General features: G+C 44.3%; 2 annotated features.

Moving 5' to 3' along the window:
• Positions 856-1,356: an enhancer, noted in NCBI's record as "H3K4me1 hESC enhancer chr9:96658478-96658978 (GRCh37/hg19 assembly coordinates)". NCBI's record gives its function as "activates a minimal SCP1, AML or CMV promoter by ChIP-STARR-seq in primed H9 embryonic stem cells {active_cell/tissue: H9 hESC(primed)}" and the evidence as "EXISTENCE:reporter gene assay evidence [ECO:0000049][PMID:30033119]".
• Positions 2,310-3,185: an enhancer, noted in NCBI's record as "H3K4me1 hESC enhancer chr9:96656649-96657524 (GRCh37/hg19 assembly coordinates)". NCBI's record gives its function as "activates a minimal SCP1, AML or CMV promoter by ChIP-STARR-seq in primed H9 embryonic stem cells {active_cell/tissue: H9 hESC(primed)}" and the evidence as "EXISTENCE:reporter gene assay evidence [ECO:0000049][PMID:30033119]".

Raw genomic sequence — 26,109 nt, 5'->3', positions numbered from 1 at the left:
CACATGGCCCCTTGGGCACCAGCTCAGAGGAAGAAATAGCTGAAGATGTAGTCTGGCCCCTGCCTGCCCCAGCCTGGAAGTGACACCCATCCCTTCTGCCCATGGCCATTGTTCCATGGCCCACCTGAGGCCAACAAGGCTGGGAGATGTGGGGGCTTGGTGGCACTCAAGCCATTTTGTGTAGAAAACCAGAGATGTTCCCAGGGAACAGAGAACTTGGAGACACTGGGTTAGCCTCCATCCCCTTCAGCACCTGTCTGGTGTGGACTAGGGCCGGGGCTGCCCTTCACCTCTACTCCTGCACAGCTCACCTCGAGGGCCCTGGGCATTGCACTCTGCTGTCTGGGGCCTCAGCTCTGAATCCTGTTCAGAACAAAAGGGAAAGTAAAGGCCCCCAAAGGCTTTGCTTTCTGAGGCTGCAACTGCCTACCAGCCACTGAATTCACCAGGCTCCTGCCTTGAGACCCAGAGGCAAGTGCCTCCTGAGGGGTGGAAAAGGCCAGCTGGGACGGGGAGGTGGCTCTGCAGGGCCTCAAGCCCCTGAGCCTCCTCTTCCTAGGCCTTGGCCCTCTCCTGGGGTGGGGCCATGCATTCCTCCCACCAGTTCCCACCTGTGGGACTATGATCCCATTCTGCAGAGCAGAGCCCATTGCTGATATTGGCTCACCTGCCCTCACAGTGCAGGTGCCCGGCCTGCTGAGGCTGGTGCCAGGGGCATCCCTAGGACACTATGATAGATGAGGCCTGGGGAGAGGTTGAGGGGCTGACCCGTCTCCCAGTTCACTCTGCAGGCCCTGCCGGACAGCTGAGCCCCTCTGCTGGGAGGAGCCATGGCCCGGAGTTGGGGCGGGAGGCACCTGGGCCCACCTTCCAGGGCCTCTCTCTAGCCGCCTCCACCTGTACCCTGTGTTGTTCCAGGCCTCGTGCTGGTTCTGTACTCCCAGAGCCCTCAGACTGGAGGGGGGACAGGGCCACTAACAGTCGTGGGTGCCATGAGAGCTGTGGGGCTTCTGACCAGAGAATGAGCAGGAGGGGTCCTGCAACGTGTTGTGGGGGGAGAATCCAGGGGAAGGAACAGAATGGGCAGGGTGATTCCTGGCAGAGGGACCCCGGCACCTCTGCTGAGGGCTCCTCCCAACCCAGGCCCTGATGCTGCCTCCACCAATCCCTCAAGGGCCACTAGGGGCACCTGGTGCCCTTGGCGCAGGACCACTGGGTGGCACATGCTGTGGCCCAGCACTCCCTCTCAGGAGGCAGGACCAGCCTCATCCTCTCAGGAACCTGTGGGATCTGGGGTTCCTTTGCCTCTTGCTTCCAGCAGGACTGCTGCCTCCCACTCCGGCCTCCACCACCGAAGGAATCACATTGAGCCTCACCCTCCAACCCCTCTGGGCACCTAGCTCTCACGGCCTGACTTGACCAGGGTAGGGCCTTCAGCCCGGTCTTCTCCCACCTGCAGAGGAGAGGTGCACCCATCCCCTCGGTCTCCTCCAGGCTGCGGAAACAGCCCATTACTCCCAGTGCCGATAATGGCCTCTCAATTGAATTAAGAGAGTTCATGGGAAGCCCAGGCATGAAATCTGTTTCCGTAAAAGTCCAAATTTGGGACAGTGGCGGGGAGCAGCGTAGGGAGGGGACTTCGGGTCCACCAAAGAAAACACCCCCGTGCATTTGTTTCCAATTCCCCTTCCAGCACCATTGCTCCCTCCCTACTCGCCCAGGGACCTTGGGCGGTGGGCCAGATGCTGCGTTTGTAATTCTCTCTCATTAATGGGTAATTTCCCCTCCTGTGAATGGAGGAGAGAGGCAGACCCTGGGGAGGCAGGCAGCACATGGCCCTCAGGCCTGAGGCCTCAAAGGGCAAGTGGGCGCAGCCTGGGCACCCAGGCATCTGCAGCCACCAGCACCTCTCAGGGCCCTTCTCAGGTGGCTCAAGGCCTCCACCAGGCTGGCATTCAGATTCCCATGGACAGATGGGGAAACCGAGGCCCTAGCAAGCTGTGGCTTATCCAGCACACCCAGCAAATGAGTGCTCCATGTGCTCCATGAGCACACGGAGAGGGGACAGGAGCCCAGGAAAGACACAAAATGACCAGATTTCCAAATTACGGGCCACAAAGCTGAAAATCATTCTGTGGATTGGGGTAGAGGATGGAGGGGGTGGTGCCTTGAGCTCAGACGGGCCTGGGTGGGAATCCTGAGCCATCTTCTGGGGCTTTGGCAGCGGACCTTCCCAAGCTGAGCCTCAGTTTCTCCATCTGCACATGGAGGTGTTTCACAGGGGGATCTGTGCCTTGCCTGGGAAAACCACTCCATCTCAGAGGTCCCTGTCAACTCTGGAAGGCAAGATTTTAGATTCTGAAACCTCTTTTCCTACCCACTCTTTTATCATTCTTGAACCCTGTTCCCTGCTTTGCGAACTATTACCTTCAAAAACATCTAGGAAATGATCATGAATAGCCCAGATGCAGCCGCCTGGTCGGTGTTGATGTGGCATTAAAAAGCTATGGTCTGAGACTGAAGCAACTGTCCCCAAGGTGGAAGCAGGCGGAGAAGTGAGGGGAGCCCTGCAGGGAGAAGCAGGGAGATGCAGGAAGGGGGCGGGGTTCTCAGCCTGTTCATTCCTGCTGAGACCACTCTGGGACCAGGCTGAGGCTGGGCCCTTCCTCCTGTCTCAGTGGGAGCAGTCAGCCCACCTGACAGGTGAGAGCACCTGCCAGGCTGCACACCTTGGCAACTGACTCAGCTGCCAAGCGCCGGCCCTGGCCCCATGTGGATGCACAGAGAAGGCCCAGGTCAGACCCCAGACACAGGGCAGACCCAATTTAGAAACCAAGTGGGTGCTGTGGACTTCCTGAGCAGAAACTAGTGCTCCCTTGCAGTTTCATCAGCCCCTGGGCCCCAGGTCCCTCTGCACATGGAGGTGTTTCATAGGAGGATCTGTGCCTCGCTTGGGTGAAACAGTCCATCCCAGAGGCTCCTGCCCACTTTGGAAGGCAAGGTCCCAGGCCCGGCCTTCCCAGCCTGACTGCATGGAGACCTACCCAGGAAGCTGTTCAAACCCAGGCCCAGCCCAACTCAACTCAGCTGCCAAGGTGGCCCAGGAGGCACCTGGGCTCAGAGCCTAAACGGGGGATCCCCTGGCAGAGCAGCTCGAGGCAGCACTGGGTGGGTGGGATAGGCCAGGGCCAGGGTACCCAGGGACACTTTGAGACCAGCTGGGATGCCCCACAGTAAAGGGGAAAATGTGAGCCAGCACCGATGTGGCCCAGGGTGTGCTGAGATCGGGCTCCTCCCTTTCCAGTGCTGATGGACGTGGTGTGACTAAAGGGCACAATCTGAGGCTAATGGAAAGCAAACAGCTCGCTGCACGGGGAAGAGCCTGGACACACACGATATTTTCTCAGGAGCTCAAAGTGCAGGCAGGAGAGGCTTGGCTGAGGCTGGGGCTGTGTCAATCACTCCCTGGCTGTTTGTCTAACCTCGCCAAGTGTGTTTTCTCCTTATTAGCAGAACACAGATAGGGAAGCAGATCTGCCCGCAGATGCGCAGCTGCAGGAATGCGTCCTCCCAGCAGAGCGGGAGGGAGGTGGGAGGGGACCCCTGTCTGCCAGCCAGGGCTGCTCTGGAGACCCTGATGGGGCTTTGGGAAGCCAGGCTCCTCTCTGCTGAGCCCTCACCTGTGCCAGGCTCTGGGAAGGGTGTTTACGGATGTTCTTTCTGAATCCTCGAAAACCCCCAGGTGGCTGTAATTCTGACCATTTTCCAAGCCTGAAGCTGAGGCTGGGTGGTGAGGTGGCCCACTCAGAACCACACGGTGAGGAAGGATGGGGGTGCTGGGGTTTGAACTCCACTGCTTCTGCTTCTTAACCCATTTCAGTGCCTGTCCCAGTGCCTCTGGGCTGAGCCTGGTCTGGGTCATCCCTGGTGAGTCTGGCTGCCTCCCAAAATATCTCTGGGCCTTCAATTTTCCTCATCTTGTGCTAGATCAGGGCCAGCAAACTTTTTCTGTAAATGGCCAAATAAAAAGTATTTAGGCTTTGCAGCTCACAGAGGCTCTGTCAGTCACTCAGTTCTGCTTTGGTAGTGTAAAGGCAGCCATAGGTGATATGTAATAAAATGGGTATGGCTATGTCCCAATAAAACTTTATTTACAAAAACAGGAAGCAGGCCAGATTTGTCAACCCCTGTGCTAGATTGATTGCAGAGAATGGTCCCAACTCTTTAGACCTCTGTTTCAACTGGATCTGCTATAACAAAGTATCATAGGCTGGATGGTTTAAACAACAGGCATTCACTTCTCAATGTTCTGGAGGCTGAAAGTTCAAGATCAAGGTGCTGGCAGATCCAGTGTCTGGTGAGGGCTCTTTTCCTGGTGTGCCGACAGCCTTCCTCTCATTGTATCTTCACATGGCTGAGTGCAGAGAAGAAGCAAGTTTTTGGTGTCTCTTCTAATAAGGACACTAATCCCATTACAAGGGCTCTGTTATGGAAACACCAGGGGTTCAGTCTACGTCCTGCTTCTCTCAGAAAGCCAATCACTGAGACAGCAAGTATTGCCAAGGAAGAAGGCTTTAATCGGGTGCTGCAGCTGGGCAGATGGGAGCTCCATCTCAAATCCGTCTCCCTGGCCAGCTAAAATTAGAGGTTTATATAGCAGGGAAGCAATGTAATAACACATAAAAAAACCAGGAACTAGGGAGGGGTAAGGAAGCAATTATGATGAATGAAGGGCCTGGCGTCTCATTGTCTGGATGAGTTTCAGTTCTTTGATACTTTTTTTTTGAAAGGCCTGAGAGTTCTTCACTGAGGAAGGAACTCAGTTAAAACAAATGTAAGTTTCAAGCTTTAAGACCTGAAAGGTCAATTTCTGTACATGTATATATATATCACTGTCTATATGATTATACGACTATTGGTTCAGTTTCAGTTCCACCCCCCCATGACTTAAGTATCTCCCAAAAGCCCCACATCCTAATACCATCCCACTGGGGATTAGGATTTCAACATTTGAATATGGGGGGACACAAACATTCAGTTCCTAGCAGCCTTCCTGTGTCCAATCCTCTGCAATCTGACTTTCAGTTCCTCCCAAGAAGAGGTCAAGTTGATCCCCTGCTCCATGAATCCCAGCCAGCCTCTTGACTTTTGTGGTGACAGAACACAGTGGAGCTAGAAGTCACTGGTTCCAAGCTTGAGCCTCAGAGGACAGGCACACATCCCTCCTCTCTTTGGGTACCTTGACACAAGGTGCAGACAAGCCTGGACTAGCCAGCTGGAGGATGAGAGTCACATGGAACAGAGGGGAGCCACACTAGCTAAGGCCATCATGGACCAGCCTCCCGCCAGCCAGCTATGGGATATGTGAAAGGCCAGCCAAAATGAGCTGGGTGGGCAACAATTTCCTCCAATGCCTGAGTCAGCCCAGCCTAGCCCAGCCCAAACCAACTACCCAGCTGTGGGCATAGCTAAGAGCAATGATGAATGCTTCCTGGATTTTGAGGTGGTTTGTTATGCTGCAGTAGCTCACTGTTACTTGTGCCAATTCATATCCTTCACCGTGGCCAGATTCATTACCCTGATTCAGAGACCCGATCAAGTTCTTCCTCAGCTCAGGGATCTTCCAGGGCTCCCTGTTCATCACCTCCAGCATAAAGTTCAAACTCCTTTAACTTGACACTCAAGACCCCTCCCAGTCTGGCACCTGTCAGCCACAGTGACCCACAGGGAGGTCTGCAGGACTCAGAAGCCTCCTCTGGCTCCACCCCACAGAAGCTCAGAGTCAGGTCAGGAAGCTAGGAAGAAGCTGGTACCTGCCAAGTGTAAAGTCCAAAGTTAGCTTTGCAGCTGGGATGGGCCCTTGTGTGCTCTTAACCAGGCCTGTCTTTTCTGTGTTCTGGTGCTTTGACATCTGACCCTTGCTGACGCTGGAGGACTGCACTGCCCCTACCTGGGCTAGCAAATTTCTGTGATCACACCCTTCCAATGCAGACCAATCCACCCAGAGCCCACACCCACCACCTCCTCTCTGGGGCCCTTGCACTCTGGGCCACCATCCACCTGCCCTCACCCCAGGGCAGGTACCAGACAGCCAGGGACAGCCCCTGTACCCTAGAGCCCACTGAAATGATTCAAACCAGCCAATCCTCAGCCTGCTGACCCGGACTTACCCATTTCTTCCAGCAGAAACCCCAGTGAAGACTCGAGTCCATGTTTCCCCTGTGCTCCCTCTGCCTCCTGACCAACCTGGTACTTCTCCGTGTGGCCCTGCACAGCCTGCCCTGCCTCCTGTTTCCAGGGATCTGTATGAAAACTTCTTCCTCATGACAGTCATCTTCATGTTTGTGTGTCTCATCACACCTGATGTTTCACTGGGCAAGTTCACTTTCACAGAGCTGCAGTCACTCCTAAGCCTGAGCCCACGTGACCACGATTCTGCTTCGTCTCTGATCACAGCTGCAGTTCCTGGCCATGTGACTCTGGACAAATCCCTTCTCCTCTCAGAGCCTCCATTTCCTCATCAGTAAGATGGACATAGAAACAGCATAAGCAATTGTATTATTTAAGGGAATGCCAAAACAGAGAAACCTTGAGGTCTCAATGACTTAACACAGTAGAAGTTGGTTTCTCAATCATGGATGGTCTGGAATGAACATTGATGATTGTTGGCTGTGGGGGAAAGTGAGTGAGGGGCCTCTGCTCTCTCAGTCATCCTGAGGTCAAGGTCGATAGGCCTCCTCCATCTCTAACCCACAGCTTCCCAGGTCCCCCCAGGGGGCCAGCATTAAAAATCTTGTGGAAGGATCTGGAAGCAGCACGAGTCTTCTCTCTGTACATCCTGCTGGCCAGACACAGTCATACAATACAACCTAGTGACAGGGAAGATTGGGAGATGCCATTTGGCAGTATGCCAGGAAGAGTAGTAAGCAGGTTTGATGCTGAGCTTGCAGACTCTGCCACAAAAGTCATTGTATTAACAGTAGGAAAGGCCATGAGGTCAGACCTCTTAAAATGGGACCAACATTTTCTAGTATGTGTGAAAAAAATGACTCTGCCTTAAAAAATGAAATGGAAAATTCTGAGCACAAGTTTATTCTGTCCTTTATTTAATACATTTAGGTTAAATTTAAAATGTTGTATTAGAACTCTTTCCCTTTTTAACGCGAAATAATCCATTGTAAGGAGATGCTGCATTTTGTGTATCCATTCATCTGTTGAGGGACACTGGCTTGTTTCCACTGTTGGCTACTGTGAGTAATGCTGCTATGAACATTCTATACAAGTCTCTGACTCCCTGTTTGCAGTTTCTTTGGGTATATACCTAGAAGTAGAATTGGTGGATCATATGGTAACTTCAGGCGTAGCTTTTTGAGGAACTGCCAACTGTTTTCTATAATGGCTGCACTATTTTACGTTTCTACCAGGAATGTTTGAGGATTACAATTTCTCCACATCCTTGACAATGTTTATTTTCTGTTTTTTGTATTTTTTTTAAATAGCCATCCTAGCAAGTGTAAGTAATGATATTTATTTATTTATTTTGAGACGGAGTCTCGCTCTGTTGCCAGGCTGGAGTGCAGTGGCGGATCTCGGCTCACTGCAACCTCCGCCTCCCAGGTTCAAGCGATTCTCCTGCCTCAGCCTCCCGAGTAACTGGGACTACAGGTGCCCACCACCACACCCAGCTAATTTTTGTATTTTTAGTAGAAACGGGGTTTCACCATGTTGGCCAGGATGGTCTTGATCTCCTGACCTCATGATCCACCCGCCTCGGCCCCCTAAAGTGCTAGGATTACAGGCATGAGCCACCACGCCCGGCCAAGTAATGTTATTTTTAAAAATTGAAGTCTATAGTTTCTGTAGATTTCCTTAGTTTGTCCCTAACGTTTCTGTTCCAGAACCCCATCCAGTATCCCACGTTTAATCATCATCTCTTCTGTATTAGTCAGCTCTCGCACTGCTATAAAGAAATACCAAGACTGGGTATTTTATCAAGGGAAGAAGTTTAATTGGCTTACAGTTCTGCAGGCTGTACAGGAAGCATGGCTAGAGAGGCCTCAGGACATTTACAGTCACAGTGGAGGGAGCGCTGATATGTCTTCATATGGCCAGAGCAGGAGGAAGAGAGAGAGGGGAAAGGTACTACCAATTTAAACAACGAGATCTCGTGGCAACTCTCTCACAAGAGAACAGCACTAGGGGGATGGTGCTAAACCATTAGAAACCATCCCCAAGACCCAGTCACCTCCCACCAGGCCCTGACTCCAACATTGGAGGTTACAATTTGACACAAGATTTGGGTGGGGACACAGACCCAAACCATATCATCTCCTTAGGCTCCTTTTTGCTGTGACTGTTCCTTAGATTTTCCTTATTTTTGATGACCATGATTATTTTGGGGAAATAGCTGGTCAGGTATCTTGTAGGATACCCCGCTATTGGGATTTGTCTGATTTTTTTCATGATAAGGTTGAGATTATGGGTTTTGGGGATGAAAACCCTAGAGGTAAAATACAATTCTTATTACATCATATCAAAGGTACGCACTATCCACACGACTTCCGACTGTTACTGTTGTCCTTAATCACCTGCCTGAGATAGTGTTTGTAAGATTTGTACATTTGTGAAGTTACTCTTTTTCCTCCCTTTCCAACTGCACACTTTAGAAGGAAGTCACTACGTGCAGCCCACCCCTAAGGCACAGTACTTATGCTCCCCTTCCTTGAGGGTGCAGTATCTACATAATTTATTTGGAATTCTGCACAAGAGAGTTATATCTTCTCCCCATTTATTAGTCGTTCATTTATTTATATCAGCATGGCCCCATGGATAGTTATTTTATCCTTTGGGTTATAACCCAATGCTACTTTATTTTGTTGCTCAAATTGTTCCAGCTTTGGCCATTGGAAGCTGTTTCTTTGGCTCCCGTGCATCCTTGACATGTCCCCATCAATTTGTGTGTGTGTGTGTGTGTGCATGTGTGTGTTTGGAGTACTTCCCTATTTTCTGCCACTACAAGATGCTACAGGTCCATCTTGTACAGTTCCTGCCCCAGTCCTAGAATCAGCCATTTCTCCAGGAAGCCCTAAGTTCTGTTTATTGGAAAATAGTATTAGAAATAAAGATCTGGGTGCTAGGTGTGCTCATTAGTATTGGAGTGTTATTTCTCTTAGGTACTCTCAGCTGACAGTGCAAAAAAATACATGTGTTTAGACTAACCTATGTATATACACGTATCTCTAAATATTTCTATATGGAATTATATATCTGTATCTATATTAAGTTGACATGGGTTCATATTAATGATTCCAACTCTAATCCACCACCACATGGATCATGCTAGCCTTCTTCCCTTGCTTGTCTGTAATGGCCCCTCCAACAGTGAGAAATAGGCTCCCACTATCCACCATCCATTTACTTAATACATTCCAGTATGCATGGACAGCAGATTTGTTAACTTATACTCCTGTGGGAAACAATTTTATCAACAAGAGTACATTGCTTATGTGCAGTTCCTTTTGCTGTTTGTCTTTTTTTTTTTCTTTGAGATGGAGTCTTGCTCTGTCACCAGGCTGGAGTGCAGTGGCACAATCTTGGCTCACTGCAACCTCCGTCTCCTGGGTTCAAGCAATTCTCCTGCCTCAGCCTCCCAAATAGCTGGGACTACAGGCATGTGCCACCATGCCCGGCTAATTTTTGTATTTTTAGTAGAGACGGGGTTTCACCATGTTAGCCAGAATGGTTTTGATCTCTTGACCTTGTGATCTGCCTGCCAAAGTGCTGGGATTAAAGGTGTGAGCCACCGCGCCTGACTCTGTTCTTAGTCTTACAGACTCCACTCATTTTCAAAGTTACTCAGATCAGCACAGTTCCTCCCACATGCTCAGTGAGTTTGTTTTATGCATTTGTAATGCGGTTCAATTTTCTTATCACATCCGCATTCCACCCAGGGACCCCCAACATCCTAAGAGATTTTTAAAAACTTTTTACATGTTAAGGTTCACTGTTCATTCTGTAAAGTTCTATGGGTTGTGACCAATGCGTAATGTCTTGTATCCACCATTATAGAATCATATGGGATAATTTTCCTGCTCTAAAAATGTTCTATGCTCCACCTACTCATCTCTTCTCTCTCCCCCTGACTGGCAAACACTGACCTTTTTACCATCTCTATACTTTTGCCTTTAGCAGAATGTCTTAGAATTTGAATCATACATAGAGTAGGGAAGTCACATTCTTTTCACACCTACTGTCACCCTAGAGTCTGTGCTCCCATTGCCTCTTGCTAGTGCAGTGACCTCCACACAGGCCTCCCTCCTCTGCCCTGGCTTCCTGTGTCTCCTTTCCACACAGCAACCAGTGTCAGATACTGTCTCTCCTTACGCAGAGCCCTCCCACAGCTGTCTCTCCCTAAAGAGGCCTTGCACGATCCAGCCCCTGCCCACGCTCTGATCACATCTCTCAGCCCCTCCCACTTGCTCCTGTGCGCTAGGTGTTCTCAGACGGGCTGGGATCCTTCTGCCTCCAGGACTTTACACTGGCTATTCCTTTGGCCTGTTCCCAAAACCCCTCAGGGCTCACTGCCTCACCTCCTTCGGATCTTCCTCAAAGGTTATCTCTTCGGAAAGACTTTTGCTCCACTTCCCTACTTTGCCTTTCTTTCTAATACTTATTACGGTTGAACAAACCATATGTATACACACACCGTTGACCCTTGAACATCATGGGCTTGAACTGTGTGGGTCCACTTATATGGAGGATTTTTTTCAATAGAATATTTGAAAAGTTTTGGAGATTTGCAACAATTTGAAAAACTCCCAGATGAGACAGGTAGCCTAGAAATACCAAAAAGATGAAGAAAAGTTAGGTATGTTATGACTACATAAAATATGTGTAGATACTAGTCTACTTTTATAAATTACTCCCATAAGATAGACACAAATCTATTGTTTAAAAAGTTAAAATGTATCAAAGCTTACATACACAAACACAGACTGTACATAGCATCATTTGCAGTTCGGAGAAAGCTATGCAAACATGAAGATACAGTATTAAATTGTAACCCCATAAAATTAACTGTAGCACATTCTGTACTATTATAATAATTTCACAGCCACCTCCTGTTACTATCGTGGTGAGCTGAAGTGTTGCAGGTATCCACTTAAAACACCATGTGATCCTAATTATCTCAACATGAGCAGTTCACTTGTCTAGTAAATCGAGTATCACAGTAGAAAGTGATCTCATGGTTCTCACATATTTTTCATTGCGTTTAGTGCAATACCAGAAATCTTGAGTGACACCATGGGACCCATACAAAGTGCCACTAGTGATACTTGGAAGTGCTCCCAAGAAGCAGAGAAAAGCCATGACGTTGCAAGAGAAAGTTGAATTGCTTGATATGTACCATAGATTGAGGTCTGCAGCTGCAGGTGATGTCGTTTCAGACAGACAATTCATCTAGTAAACAGATGACGTAAACTTACAGTATCAATAAATATAGTACAGTACTGTAAATGTATTTTCTCTTCCTTATGGTTTTCTTAATAACATTTTCTTTTCTCTAGCTTACTTTAAGAATATAGCATGTAACACATCTAACATACAAAATATGTATGTTTACGCTATCAATAAGGCTTCCAGTCAACAGGAGGCTATTAGTAGTAAATTTTGGGGGAGTCAAAAGTTATACTCAGATTTTCAACTGTGCAGGGGGCCAGTGGCCTTAACCCCTGCATTGTTCAATGACCAACTAGATATATAATTATATATGCATATAATTATAGAATATATACAGTTTAACAACTTTATTGATATAGAATTCACGTAACATACAATTCATTCATTTAAAGTGTATATTTCAATGGCACATTACCAACTTCAAAAATTGTGGCATATATATACATATACATGTATCTATATGTATATATTCTTATGTTGTATTATTCTTATGTATTCTTATGTATTACGTATTACTATGTATTACATATTATTATGTTGTTCATGTATATGTATACATGTATACATATATATATAACAAAATTTGCCATTTTAAGCAATTTTAGCGTTCAATTATGAGGCATTAATTAAATTCATTGTTGTAAAACCATCATCATTATCTATTTCCAAAACTTTTCCATACCCTAAATTAAGTCTGTAACTACTAAACACTAGCTTCCCACTCTCCCCTCACCCCAGCCCGTGGAAACTGCTAATCTATTTTCTGTTTCTATGAATTTCCTTGTGATAGATATTTTACATAAATGGAATCATGCAATACTTTTCCTTTTGTGCCTGGCTTATTTCACTTAGAATAATGTTTTCAAGGTTTATCAGTGTGGTAGCATGTGTCAGAATTTCATTCCTTTTAAAGGCTCAATAATTTCCCATTGTATGTATATATCACATTTTGCTTATCCATTCATCTGTTGATAAACCCTTCAGTTGTTTCCACCCTTTGGCTATTGTGAATAATTTTAAAATAAACATTGGCATACAAGTATCTTGTTGAGTCCTGTTTTCAATTCTTTGGGGTGTGTACTTAAGAGTGGAATTTCTGGGTCACGTGGTAATTCTATGTTTACTTTTGAGGAACTACCAAACTACTTTTCACAATGGCTGCACCATTTTGCATTATCACTAGCAATGTATGAGGGTTCTAATTTCTCCACATCCTTGCTAACACTTGTTATTTTCTGTTTTAATTCATTGATTTTAGCCATTCTAGTGAACTTGAAGAGGTATCTCCTGGTGGTTTTGATGAACATTTCCCTAATGACTAATGATACTGAGCATCTTTTTGTGTACTAATGGGCCATTTGTATATCTTCTTTGAAGAAATGTCTGTTCAAGCCCTCTGCCCATTTTGAAACGGATTGTTTTATATTGTTATTGAATTGTAGGAATTCTTTATATGTTCTAGATGTTAAACCATTATCAGATATGTAATTTGCAAATATTTTATCTCATTCTGTAGCCTGTCTTTTCACCCTCTTCATAATGTTTTTTGATGCACAAAAGTTTTTGATTTTGTTGAAGTTTAACTTATCCCTTTATTCTTTGTTGTTCATACATTTGGTGTCATATCTAAGAACCTATTGTTCAATTCAAAGTCACAGTGATTTACACCCTATGTTTTCTTCTAAGAGTGTTATAGTTTTAGCTCTCATATTTAAGTCATTGATCCATTTAGAGTTCTTTTTTGTATATGGTGTCAGGTGGGGTCTAATTTTATTTGTTTTTGCTTGTAAATATCCAGTTGTCCCAATACCATTTGTTGAAGAGATTATTCTTTTCCCAAAAATGGACTTGGCACTCTTGTCAAAAGTCAATTGGCCATAGACATATGGGTATATTTTTGTACTTTTTTTTTTTTTTGAGACAGAGTCTCGCTCTGTCACCCTGGCTGGAGTGCAGTGGCACAATCTCAGCTCACTGCAAGCTCCGCCTCCTGGGTTCACCCCATTCTTCTGCCTCAGCCTCCCGAGTAGCTGGGACTACAGGTGCCCGCCACCACGCCCAGCTAATTTTTTGAATTTTTAGTAGAGACGGGGTTTCACCGTGTTAGCCAGGATGGTCTCGATCTCTTGACCTCGTGATCTGCCTGCCTCAGCCTCCCAAAGTGCTGGGATTACAGGCATAAGCCACCGTGCCTGGCCTATTTTTCTACTCTTAATTCTATTGCATTGGTACGTACAACTATCCTTATGCCAGTACCACACTTTTTCTGATTGTGTAGATTTGTAGTAAGTTTTGAAATCAGAAAGTATGATTCATTCAAACTGTTCTTCATTTTCAAGATTGTTTTGGCTCCTTGAGATCCCTTGCAATTATATATGAAATAGAAGATTAACTTTTCCATTTCTGCAAAAGACATTTAGAATTTTATTAGGGACTGTGTTGAATGTGTAGATCACTTTGGGTAGTATTGACACCTTAATGATATCATGCATTCCTATCCATAAACATGCGAGGTCTTTCTACTTATTTAGATATTCTTTGTTTCAGCAATGTTTTGCAGTTTTCAGTGTCCAAATAAGTCTTTTACCTCTTTGGTTAAATTTATTCCTAGGGTTTCACTATTGTAGATGCTATTGTAAATGAAATTTATCCTTTAATTTACTTTTTGAATTGTTCATCCCTGCTATATAGAAATACAACTAATTTTTCCATGTCAATCTTGTCTTCTGCAACATTGGTGAATTTTTAAGTTAGTTCTAGTAGCTTTCTTGTGGATGCTTTGGGGTTTTCTATATGTAAGACCATGTCATCTGATAATAGAGATAGTTTTACTTCTTTTTTTCATATATATGAAAACTATCTTTTACTTTTAACTAAAAGTGTCTTTTAACTAACTTTCGACTAACTTTATCTATATATCTATATATAGATATAATGATATATCTCTATATATTTATATGTAATTATATGTATGATATGTTTATATATTATATGTCTATATAGATACAGATCTATCTATCTATATATTGAGAGACAGAAAGACAGGGTCTCACTCTGTCACTCAGGCTGGAGGGCGGTGGCATGAACACAGCACTGTAGCCTTGACCTCCTGGGGTTCAAGAGATCCTCCTACCTCAGCCTCCTTAGTAGCTGGGTCCACAGGCATGCACCACAATGCCTGGCTAATTTTTCTTTTCTTTTTAGAGACAGGGTTTCACCATGTTGTCCAGTCTGGTCTTGAACTCCTGAGCTCAAGCAACTCTCCCACCTGGCCTCCCAAAGTGTTCAGGTTACAGGTGTGAGTCACCACACCCAACCTTACTTCCTTATTTCTATTTGGGTGCCTTTTATTAATTATTGTCTCTAATTGCTCTGGCTAGAACTTCCGGTACAATGTTGAATAGCGGTGGCAAAAACAGGCATTCTTGTCTTGTTTTTGATGTGATGAAGAACACTTTTAATATTTCACCATTGAATATGATGTTGACGCAGGACAGGTAGTCAAGAAAATGACCATGTTCTGGGGATGGAGTGACCATGGTGATTGTCTAATCAACACCATAAACCTCAGCATTTGCATTATAATTGAGCTAATTCAAGCAAAGCTATTTTCAGTAAGGACTTTCCCCTCTAGAGACCATATGCACTTTGATTTTACCTGTCCTCAAACTAACTGCTCATTATAATAGTAAAAAAATCACATCCCTGGGTGGAAATTTAAGATGCTAATGAGACATGTGATGTACGAACGAGCATGTAGTTACTGTGCATGTGTACCCAGAGGACCACCTAGAACACTCTTACTAGCAACACCTCTTTCCACCTCCTTATGAATATTCATGCTGTGTCCAGAATTGGTGGGTTCTTGGTCTCACTGACTTCAAGAATGAAGCCGCGGACCCTCGCGGTGAGTGTTACAGGTCTTAAAGGTGGCGTGTCCAGAGTTTGTTCCTTCTGACGTTAGGATGTGTTCGGAGTTTCTTCCTTCTGGTGGGCTCGTGGTCTGGCTGCATCAGGAGTGAAGCTGCAGACCTTTGCGGCGAGTGTTACAGCTCTTAAGGTGGCGCGTCTGGAGTTCTTCCTTACTCCTGGTGAGTTCATGGTCTCGCTGGCTTCAGGAGTGAAGTGCAGCTCTTCGCAGTGAGTGTTACAGCTCATAAAGGCAGTGTGGACCCAAAGAGTGAGCAGCAGCCAGATTTATTGCAAAGAGTGAAAGAACAAAGCTTCCACACTATGTAAGGGGGACCCCAGCGGGTTACCACTGCCGGCTCGGGCAGCCTGCTTTTATTCTCTTATCTGGCCCCACCCACATCCTGCTGATTAGTTCATTTTACAGAGAGCTGATTGGTCTGTTTTACAGAAAGCTGATTGGTCCGTTTTGACAGGGTGCTGATTGGTGCGTTTACAATCCCTGAGCTAGACACAAACGTTCTCCACCTCCCCGCTAGATTAGCTAGATACAGAGTGTCCATTGGTGTATTTGCAAACCTTGAGCTAGATACAGAGTGCTGATTGGTGCATTCACAATCTCTTAGCTAGACATAAGGGTTCTCCAAGTCCCCACCAGATCAGCTAGACACAGAGTGCTGATTGGTGCATTTACAAACCTTGAGCTAGATACAGAGTGCCGATTGGTGTGTTCACAGTCCCTTAGCTAGACATAAAGATTCTCCACGTCCCCACTAGATTAGCTAGATACAGATTTTCCACGTCCCCACCAGATTAGCTAGTTCTTGGCAACAGACAGCCGGCCTGCAAAGAGCCACTCTGGCTAAGGATGAGATATAGTAAGTTGTTTGATGAACACCCTTAGCTACAGATTGGATGGAGGATGGGTGAGATTCAGAGCTGTTTGCCAGGCTAAAAGTGCCAAATTGGAGGATGTATCTGAGTGGGGGAGTTGGAAGTGCAAGTACTCCTCTCTACCCTGGTTACAGACCATATCCCAATTTTTACCAGCTGGCATTCAGTAGCATATTATAGTAACTTAAGCAAGTACCATATGCATAAAATAATCACTCCACTAAACAGTGAGAATTCAGAAGTCGCAGGATGAGCTGTAGTCTGAACAAGCAAAGGAAAGAGGCTGTTAACCAGATTTCAGAAGATGGTCCTGACATGATTTGGCTGTATCCCCACCCAAATCTCACCTTGAATTGTAATAATTCCCACATGTCAAGAATGGGGCCAGGTGGAGATAATAGAATTATGGGGGTGGTTTTCCCATAGTATTCTCCTGGAAGTGAATATGTCTCATGAGATCTGATGGTTTTATAAATGGGAGTTCCCCTGCACAAGCTCTCTTGCCTGTCACCATGTAAGAGGTACCTTTGCTACCCCTTTGGTCTCCACTATGATTCTGAGGCCTCCCCAGCCACGTAGAACTGTGAGTCCATTGAATCTCTTTCTTTTATAAATTACACAGCCTTGGGTATGTCTTTATTAGCAGCATGAGAATTCAGGACTGGAGTTTGAGACCAGCCTGGCCAACATGGTGAAACCCTGTCTCTACTAAAAATACAAAAAATTAGCTGGGTGTGGTGGCAGGCATCTGTAATCCCAGCTACTCGGGAGGCTGAGGCAGGAGAATTGCTTGAATCTGGGAGGTGGAGTGCCGATTGGTGCATCCACAAACCCTGAGCTAGACACAGGGTGCTGACTGGTGTATTTACAATCCCCTAGCTAGACATAAAGATGCTGCAAGTCCCCACCAGACTCAGGAGCCCAGCTGGCTTCACCCAGTGGATCCTGCACTGGGGTCACAGGTGGAGCTGCCTGCCAGTCCCGCACCATGCGCCTGCACTCCTCAGTCCTTGGGTGGTAGATGGGACTGGGCGCCGTGGAGCAGGGTGGGGGGGGGCACTCGTCGGGGAGGCTCAGGCTGCGCAGGAGCCCACCGCGCAGGGGGTAGTGGGGGCGCTCAGGCATGGTGGGCTGCAGGTCCCAAGCCCTGCCCCGCAGGGAGGCAGCTAAGGCCTGGGAGAAATCGAGCACAGCAGCTGCTGGCCCAGGTGCTAAGCCCCTCACTGCCCTGGGCTTGTGGGCCGGAGGGCCACTCCGAGCGCAGGGCCAGCCAAGCCCATGCCCACCCGGAACTCGCGCTGGCCCGCAAATGCTGTGCGCAGCCCCGGTTCCCGCCCACGCCTCTCCCTCCACACCTCCCCGCAAACTGAGGGAGCCGGCTCCAGCCTTGGCCAGCCCAGAAAGGGGCTCCCACAGTGCAGCGGCAGGCTGAAGGGCTCCTCAAGCATGGCCGGAGTGGGCGCGGAGGTCGAGGAGGCGCCAAGAGCCAGCGAGGGCTGCGAGGGCTGCCAGCACGCTGTCACCTCTCAATGTAAGACTCCCATAAAGGAAGCCTCCCTAGTGCCCGTCTTTGTTGTCTCATCCTTAGGAGCAGCCTGCCCTTGAATTCTTTCTTACTCAGGGTGTATTGTCCATTCTGCATCTAACTTTCAAAATATTCTTTTCTTTTGCAATAAATTACTCTATGCTGCACCTCCTTTGCTGTGTGTTTCTTGTTTAAATTATTTTAAATCAAGAAAACAAGAACTGAGGTATCACCACAGCCATCAACAATGTTAGCTATGAGTTTTTCATAAATGCCCTTTATCATGTTGAGGACATTTCCTTTTATTTCTGGTTTTCTGAGGGTTTTTTTTTTTTCATGATAGGTCATTGGATTTTGTCAAATGCCTTTTCTGTGTCACTTGAGATGATCATGTGATTTTCTCCTTTGTTCTATTATTTTATTAATTTTAATTTCATTAACTTATTTTTAATTAATAAGTAAAAAATATATATTCATAGCACACAACATGATGTTTTGACATCTGTATACACTGTGGAATGGCTAAGTCAAGCTATTTAACATATGCTTTCTCTCCCATACTTATCTTTTTTGTGATGAGAGCACTTAAAATCTCATTTAAATTTTTAAGGATAAAATATATTGTTATTAACTCTAGTTACCATGATGTGCAATAGATCTTTTGAATTTATTCCTCCTATTTAGCCTTCATTATATTAATGTGATGTATTACATTGATTGATTTTCTTATGCCAGACTAATATGCATTCCTAAGGTAAGGGTCACTTGGTCATGGTGTATACTCTTTTTACCATGCTGTTAGATTCAGTTTGCTATTAATTTGTTCAAGATTTCCACATCTATATTCATAAAGTCTGTAAATTGATTTTCTTGTGATGTCTTTACCTGGCATTGATTTCAGGTAATTGGACTTATAGAAAGAGTTTGGGAGTTTTCTCTCCTTTTCCCATTTTTGGAAGTGTTTTAGAAAGATTGGTATTAAGCCTTCTTTAAATGTTTGTTAGGATTCACTAGTGAAGTCATCTGGTTGTGAACTTTTCTTTGTTGGAAGATCTTTAATTACTAACTCAATCTCCTTGATAAAGATCTGTTCAGATATTCCATTTCTTCTTGAATCAATTTTGGTAATTTCTGTGTTTCTAGGAATTTGTCCATTTCATCTTGGTTGTCTATTTTTTTGGTGCAAAATTTTTCATAGTATTTTCATATAATTCTTTTTATTTCTGTAGAGTCAATAATAATGTCCCCACTTTTATTTTTTATTTTAGTTATATGCATTGACTCTTTTTTTCTTTGTCAGTCTAACTAAAGGTTTGTCAATTTTGTTGAACTTTTCAAAGAACTGATGTATTAGTCTGTGCTGCCATAACAAAATATTTCAGACTGGGTGGCTTAAACAACAGATATTTGTTTTCTCACAGTTCTGGAGGCTAGAAGTTCATGAATTTGTAGGTACTTACAAATTAAGTTTCTGCTGGGCTTTCTTTGTGGCTGTATACAGCTGTCTTCTTGCTGTGTGTCTTTAGATGAACTTTCTCCTGAGTACTAGGAACGAGAGAGATAGAGCATGAGAGAGAGAGAGAGAGAGAGAAAGAGAGAGAGAGAGAGAGAAAGAGAGAGAGGGAGAAAGAATCTTAACGTTTCTTCCTCTTGTAAGGACACCACTCCTATCAGATTAGGACCCTACCTTTATGACCTCATTTAACCTTAATTACCTTCCTAAAGGCCTTATCTTCAAACACAGCCACATTGGAGGTTAGAGCTTCGGCATATATATATATATATATATATATATATATATATATATTATATATAATGATACAATATGATATATAATATGATATATATCATATATAATTATATATTATATATCATGTATAATTATATATTATATATCATATATAATTATATATTATATATCATATATAATTATATATTATATATCATATATAAAAATATTTATATATAAATACATGTATATAAATATATATAAATACATATATATAAATTTTGGAGGACACACTTCCATTCATAGCAACCAACTTTTTGCTTCTCTTGTTTTTCTATTCTCTAGTTCAATTATCTCCACTAGAATCTTTCCTTCTTTCTGCTAGCTTTGGATTTGGTTTGTGCTTTTTTTCCTAGGTCCTTAATGTGTAAAGTTAGGGTATTGATTAAAGAGCTGTCTTATTTTTTAATATAAGCATTTACAGTGACATATTTCCTTTATAGCACTGTGTTCATTGTATCCCCTAAGTATTGGTATGTTGCATTTTCTCTTTTGTTAAACTCTAAGTGTTTTCTAATTTCTCTTATTATTTCTCCTTGACACATTGATTATCTAAGACTGTGTTATTTAATTTTCACATATTTGTAAATTTTCCTGATTTCCTTGTTATTGATTTTTAGCTTCATTCCATTGTAGTCAGAGAAGATTCTTTATACATTTTTCTTTTTAAATCTATTGAGAGTTATTTGTGTCCTAACATATGATCTATTCCAGAAAATGTTCCATGTGTACTTGAGAAAAATGTGTACTCTGCTGTTGTTGAGTTTATAAATGTTTCTTAGGTCTAGTTGGTTTATAATGTCTTTTCATTTTCTATTTTGATTGATCTTCTGTTTATATGTTGTCTGAATTACTGAAAATAGGGTGTTGGAACACCCAACTATTAATATTGAATTGTCTGTTTCTCCAGTCAAATGTGACAATGCTTTTGTCATATATTTTTGGGCTCTGTTGTTTTGTGTGCATACGTTTCTAGGTGTTACATCTTTTTGATTATTTGACCTCTTTATCAGTATATAATGCCCTTCTCTGTCTCTTTTAACAATTTTCTACTTAAATGATATTAGTATAGGCACTGCCACTATCTTTTGGTTCCAGTATGTTCATGGAATCTATTTTCCATTCTTTTATTTTCAACCTATTTGTGTCTTTGAATTTAAAGTGAGTTTCTTGTAGACAGCATATAGTTAGATTTTTGTTTTGCTTTGTTAAAGATAGGGTCTTGCTATGTTGCTCAGGGTGGTTTCGAACTCCTAGCCTTAAGCAATCCTCCCATCTCAGCCTCCCAAAGTGCTGAGATTACAGGCATGAATCACTGTGCCTGGCTTATTTTGTTTTTGTTTTAATCCATTTGGCCAATCTCTGCCTTTTGATTGGGGAGTTTATTTTATTTACGTTTAAAATAATTACTGTCAAGGAAAGACTAATTTCTGCCATTGTGGTATGGCAGAAATTTCTCTATGTCTTAGCACTTTCTCTATGTCTTAGCTTTTTTTTTCCCCTCATGTCCTCCATTACTGCCTTCTTTTCTTCTTAATCTTTTTGTAGTGAAACATTTTGATTCCCTTCTTACTTTGTCTATATTCTTTAAGTTTTTTCTTTGTGGTTACCATGGGAATAACATTTGAAATCCTAAATTTATAACAGTCTAATTTGAATTTTTATCAATTTAATGTCAATAGCATCCAAAAACTCTGTCCCTATACAGTTCTGCCCTCCTCTTTATGTTATTTTTGTCACAAATTCTATGTTATGTGCCAAATAATATAGATTTATAATTATTTCTATGCATTTACATTTTAAAACATGCAGTAAATCAAAAGTGGAATTAGAAGCAAAAATTAAATACACTAGATTTTATATCTGCCCATGTATCTCACATTAATAAAGATATTTATTTCTTTAAACGTTTTCAAATTACTGTCTAGTGTGCTTTCATTTCCATCTGAAGGACTCCTTTTTGTACTTTTGCAGGGCAGTTCTAGCAGCAATGCACTCCCTCAGCTTTTGTTTATCTGGAATGTCTCTCTCTCTCTCTCTCTCTCTCTCTCTCTCTCTCTCTCTCTCTATATATATATATATATATATATATATATATATATATATCTTGCCACCACACCCATCCCCTTTCTCTCATTTTTGAAGGACAGTGTTGCTGTTTATAAAATTCTTGGCTGACAGTTTTTTTATGCTTTTAGCACCTTAAATATGTCAGCTCATCACCTCTTGGTGATCAAGGTTTCTGATGAGAAATCAGCTGTTAATCTTATCAAAGAATTCCTTGTACATGATGAATCACTTCTCTCTTGCTGCTTTCAAGATTCTCTTTTGTCTTTCAACAATTTGTGTCTTGGTATAGTTTTTCTTGTTTAGTTTATCCTACTTAAAATTTTTTTTGAGGTTCTTGGATTTGTAGATTCATGTCTTTCATCAAACTTGTGAAATTTTTGGATGTTATTTCTTCAAATAAATTTTCTACCTCTTTTTCTCCTCTCCTTTTTGGACTCCCATTATGCATATGTTGGTCCACTTGGTGGCACCTTACAGGTCAAAATTAGTACTGAGGAGTGGGGCATTGCTATAAAGATACCTGAAATTGTGGAAGCAACTGTGGAACTGGGTAACAGGCAGAGTTTGGAAGAGTTTGGAGGGCTCAGAAGATAGGAAGGTGAGGGAAAGTTTGAAACTTCTTTGAGACTGGTTAAATGGTTGTGACGAAAATGCTGATAGTGATATGGAAAATGAAATCCAGGCTGATGAGGTCTCAGATGAAAATGAGGAACTATTAGAAACTGGAGCAAAGATCACATGTGTTATGCCTTAGCAAAAAGCTTGGCTGCATTCCGTTTATGCCCTGTGGGGCTGTGGAAGTTTGAACTTTATAGTGATGATATAGGGTACCTGGTAGAAGAAATTCCCAAGCAGCAAAGCATTCAAGATGTGGCCTGGCTACTTCTAACAACCTGTGCTCAGATATGGGAGCAAAGGAATGACTTAAATTTGGAACTTATATTTAAAAGGGAAGCAGAACATAAAAGTTTGGAAAACTTGCAGCCTGGTCATGTGGAAGAAAAAGAAAAAGCTTTTTAAGGAGAGAAATTCAAGCAGGCTATGGAGCAACCATTTATTAGCAATATTCGCATAACTAAGGAGCCAAGTACTGATAGGCAAGACAATGGAAAAAAGGCCTTGAAGGCATTTCAGAGACCTACATGGCAGCACCTCCCATCACAGGCCCAGAGGCCGAGGAGGAAAGAATAGTTTCATGGGCCAGACCCAAGGTCTCACTGCCCTGTGCAGCCTCAAGGAACTGCTCCTCACATCCCAGCTGCTCCAGCTCCAGCCTCAGCTCAAAGGGCCCCAGGTAAAGCTTGAACCACTGCTTCAGAGGGTGCAAGCCATAAGCTTTGGTGGCTCCCATGTGGTGTTAAGCCTGCAAGTGCATAGAGTGCAACAGTTGAGGCTTGGGAACCTCTGCCTAGATTTCAGAGCATGTAGGAAAAGCCCAGATGTCCAGGCAGAAGCCTGCTGTGGGGTGGAGCCCTCACAGAGAATGTCTACTAGGGCAGTGCCAAGGGGAAATGTGGTGTTGGAGCCCACACACAGAGTTTCCAATGGGGCACTGCCTAGTGGAGCTGTGAGAAGGGGGCCACTGTTCTCCAAACCCAAGAATGGTAGATCTACCAGCAGTTTGCACCCTGCACCTGAAAAAGCCACAGACACTCAACACCAGCCTATGAGAGCAGCCCTGGGGGCTAAACCCTGCAAGAAAGTGAAAAGTAGAACTAAAATGAAAAATTCATTAGAGGGATTCAATAGCATATTTGAGCAGGCAAAAGAAAGAATCCATGAACTTGAAGATAGGACAACTGAATAATTAACAATTCAACCTCAACAATTGAAATTGTTGACACTGAGGAGCAGAGAGAAAAAATAATAAAGTGAATATAGCCTGATAGATTTTGTATTAGTTTGTTCTTACATTGCTGTAAAGAAATACCTGAGACTGGGTAATTTATAAGCAGATAATTTTAATTGGTTCATGGTTCTGCAGGCTGGAGAGGTCTCAGAAAGCTTCCAATCATGACAGAAGGCAAAGGAGGAGTAAGCACATCACATAGTGAGAACAAGAGCGCGTGCGCGTGTGTGTGTGTGAGAGAGGGAGAGGAGCAGGGGTGGTGGAGGTGCCACACACTTTTAAATTATGAGATCTCATGTGAACTTAGAGCTCACTTATCACCAAGGGGATGGCCCAAGCCAATCATGTGGTATCTGCCCCCATGATCCAGACACCTCCCACTAGACCTCATCTACAACACTGGGGATTATAATTCAGCATAAGATTTGCGCAGGGACAAATATACAAACTATATCATTCTACCCTGGCCCCTCCTAAATCTCATATTCTTTTCACATTTCAAAATATAATCTTGCCTTCCTAATAGTCTCCCAAAGTCTTAACTAATTCTAGCATTAACTCAAAGGTCCAAAGTGCAAAGGCTCATCTGAGATAAGGCAGCTCCCTTCCATCTATGAGCCTGTAAAATAAAAAACTAGTTAGCTACTTCCAATATACAATGGGGGTATAGGGATTGGGTAAACATTCCTATTTCAGAAGGGAGAAATCAGCCAAAAGAAAGGGGCTACAGGCCCCATGCAAGTTTGAAACCCAGCCAGGCAGCCATTAAATCTTAAAGCTCCAAAATAATCTCCTTTGACTCTATGTCTTATATCCAGGGCACACTGGTGCAAGTGGTGGACTCCCAACGGTCTTATAAATTACCCAGTTTCAGGTATTTCTTTACAGCAATGCAAGAATGAACTAATACAAAGTCCATCAGGCTATATTCACTTTATTATGCCTGTGGTCTGCAGAATAACGCCCCCCTAAGATGCCCACCCCAACTCCTGGATCCTGTGAATACACTGCCTTACATGCCAAGATGGATTTTGCAGTTGTGCTGGGGGATACAGACCAGAAATAGGGAAATTATGCTAGATTGTCCAGTAGGGCCCAATCTAATCACTTGAGTTCCTAAAAGCAAAGTACTCTGCCAGTTGGTGTCAGGGATATCTCAGACGAGGAAATCGGAGAGATTTGAAATCTGAGAGGAACTTGACCCTCTGCTACAGGGGGAGCCATGTGGAACCCTTGGAAGGGATGTGGCACTTTCTTCTAGGAGCAAAGACCCCTCAGCCCTGGCTGAGAGCCAACAAGAAAGGGGACTTCAGTTCTGCAACCACAGGAAGCACTATTGAACCAACAACCTGAATGAGTTTAGCAGCAGATTCATCCTGAGCACTTCCAGAAAGGAGCACAGCCTGACTGGCACCTGGGTTACAGCCTTGTGAGACCCTAAGCAGGGGACCCTGGTGAGCCTGGAGATACAGAACTTCTGGTTGTTTGGCCCACAGCACTGTAAGAGCATGAATGTGTTGCTCAAAGCTTGTAGCTCAAAGCTTGCTCAGTTGGTAGTGATTTGTTATAGCAGGGACAGGAAACCCAAGCACCAGGTCACAGGGTCCCTTCTGCCCTTGGTAGCCCGGTGGCAGCTCTGAATTCAGGTTTCTCTGTGGTTCTGCTACTCTCAGCTCTTTTCACAGCCCATGGCCCAGCTGCAGGGCACCAGGAGCTCTTTAAACATGGCTGTGAGGCCACGGGTATTGCCTGTGATTTCCTGACCTGAGCTTATTTCCATTCTACTTCTCATCCACCCACAGCAAATTGCAGCCCTTCTCATTACAATCTACCCCCATCTCTTAAATGCTAGATGCATTGCCCGGCCCGTGCACACCCCTGCCCCCCAACTTGGAGGAAGGGGGATTGTAGCAAGTGCATTTCTGCAGCAGCCAGTGGTTTCTGCCACTCCACTCAGCACCAACAGTGGGGTCCCTATGGCCCTGTACCCAGTTGGGGCCCCAACTCCAGAGCCTCACCAAAAATGTGCTTGCTAGGACAATTTTTTTCTTTCTTTCTTTCTTTCTTTCTTTCTTTCTTTCTCTTTTTAAGAGACAGAGCCTTGCTCTGGGCAACCTTGCTCTGTCACCCAGCCTGGAGTGCAGTGGCACAGTCACGGCTCACTGCAGCCTCAACCTCCTGTGTTCAAGTGATCCTCTTGCCTTAGCCTCCCTAGTAGCTGGGGCTACAGGCATGCGGTACCACACCCGGCTAATTTGTGTTTTGTGTGTGTGTGTGTGTGTGTGTGTGTTTTATATATAGAGACAGTGTCTTGTTATGTTACCCAGGCTGGTCTTGAATTCTGGCCTCAAGCGATCCTCCTACCTTGGCCTCCCAAAGTGCTGGGGTTACAGTTATAAGCCATTATGCCCAGACTTGATAGGACAATTTTCAGTAACCAATCCCAGAAGCAGAGCCTGAGTTGAGGGCTGGTGTGAAGGTGACTGATGAGGAAAGAGCAGAAAAGGCAGAGGAGCCAAGAAAGGGTGTGAGGCCAGGCAAAGTCCATGAGCCCCTCCTGCTGGGCGCTTTTCAAGCCCATTCCAATGTGGAGCGAGGACTGCCACATTCCCT

This window comes from Homo sapiens, chromosome 9 (assembly GCF_000001405.40).
Source record: "Homo sapiens chromosome 9, GRCh38.p14 Primary Assembly".
Lineage (NCBI taxonomy): Eukaryota > Metazoa > Chordata > Mammalia > Primates > Hominidae > Homo > Homo sapiens.
This window is presented reverse-complemented; position numbering and strand designations above follow the sequence as displayed.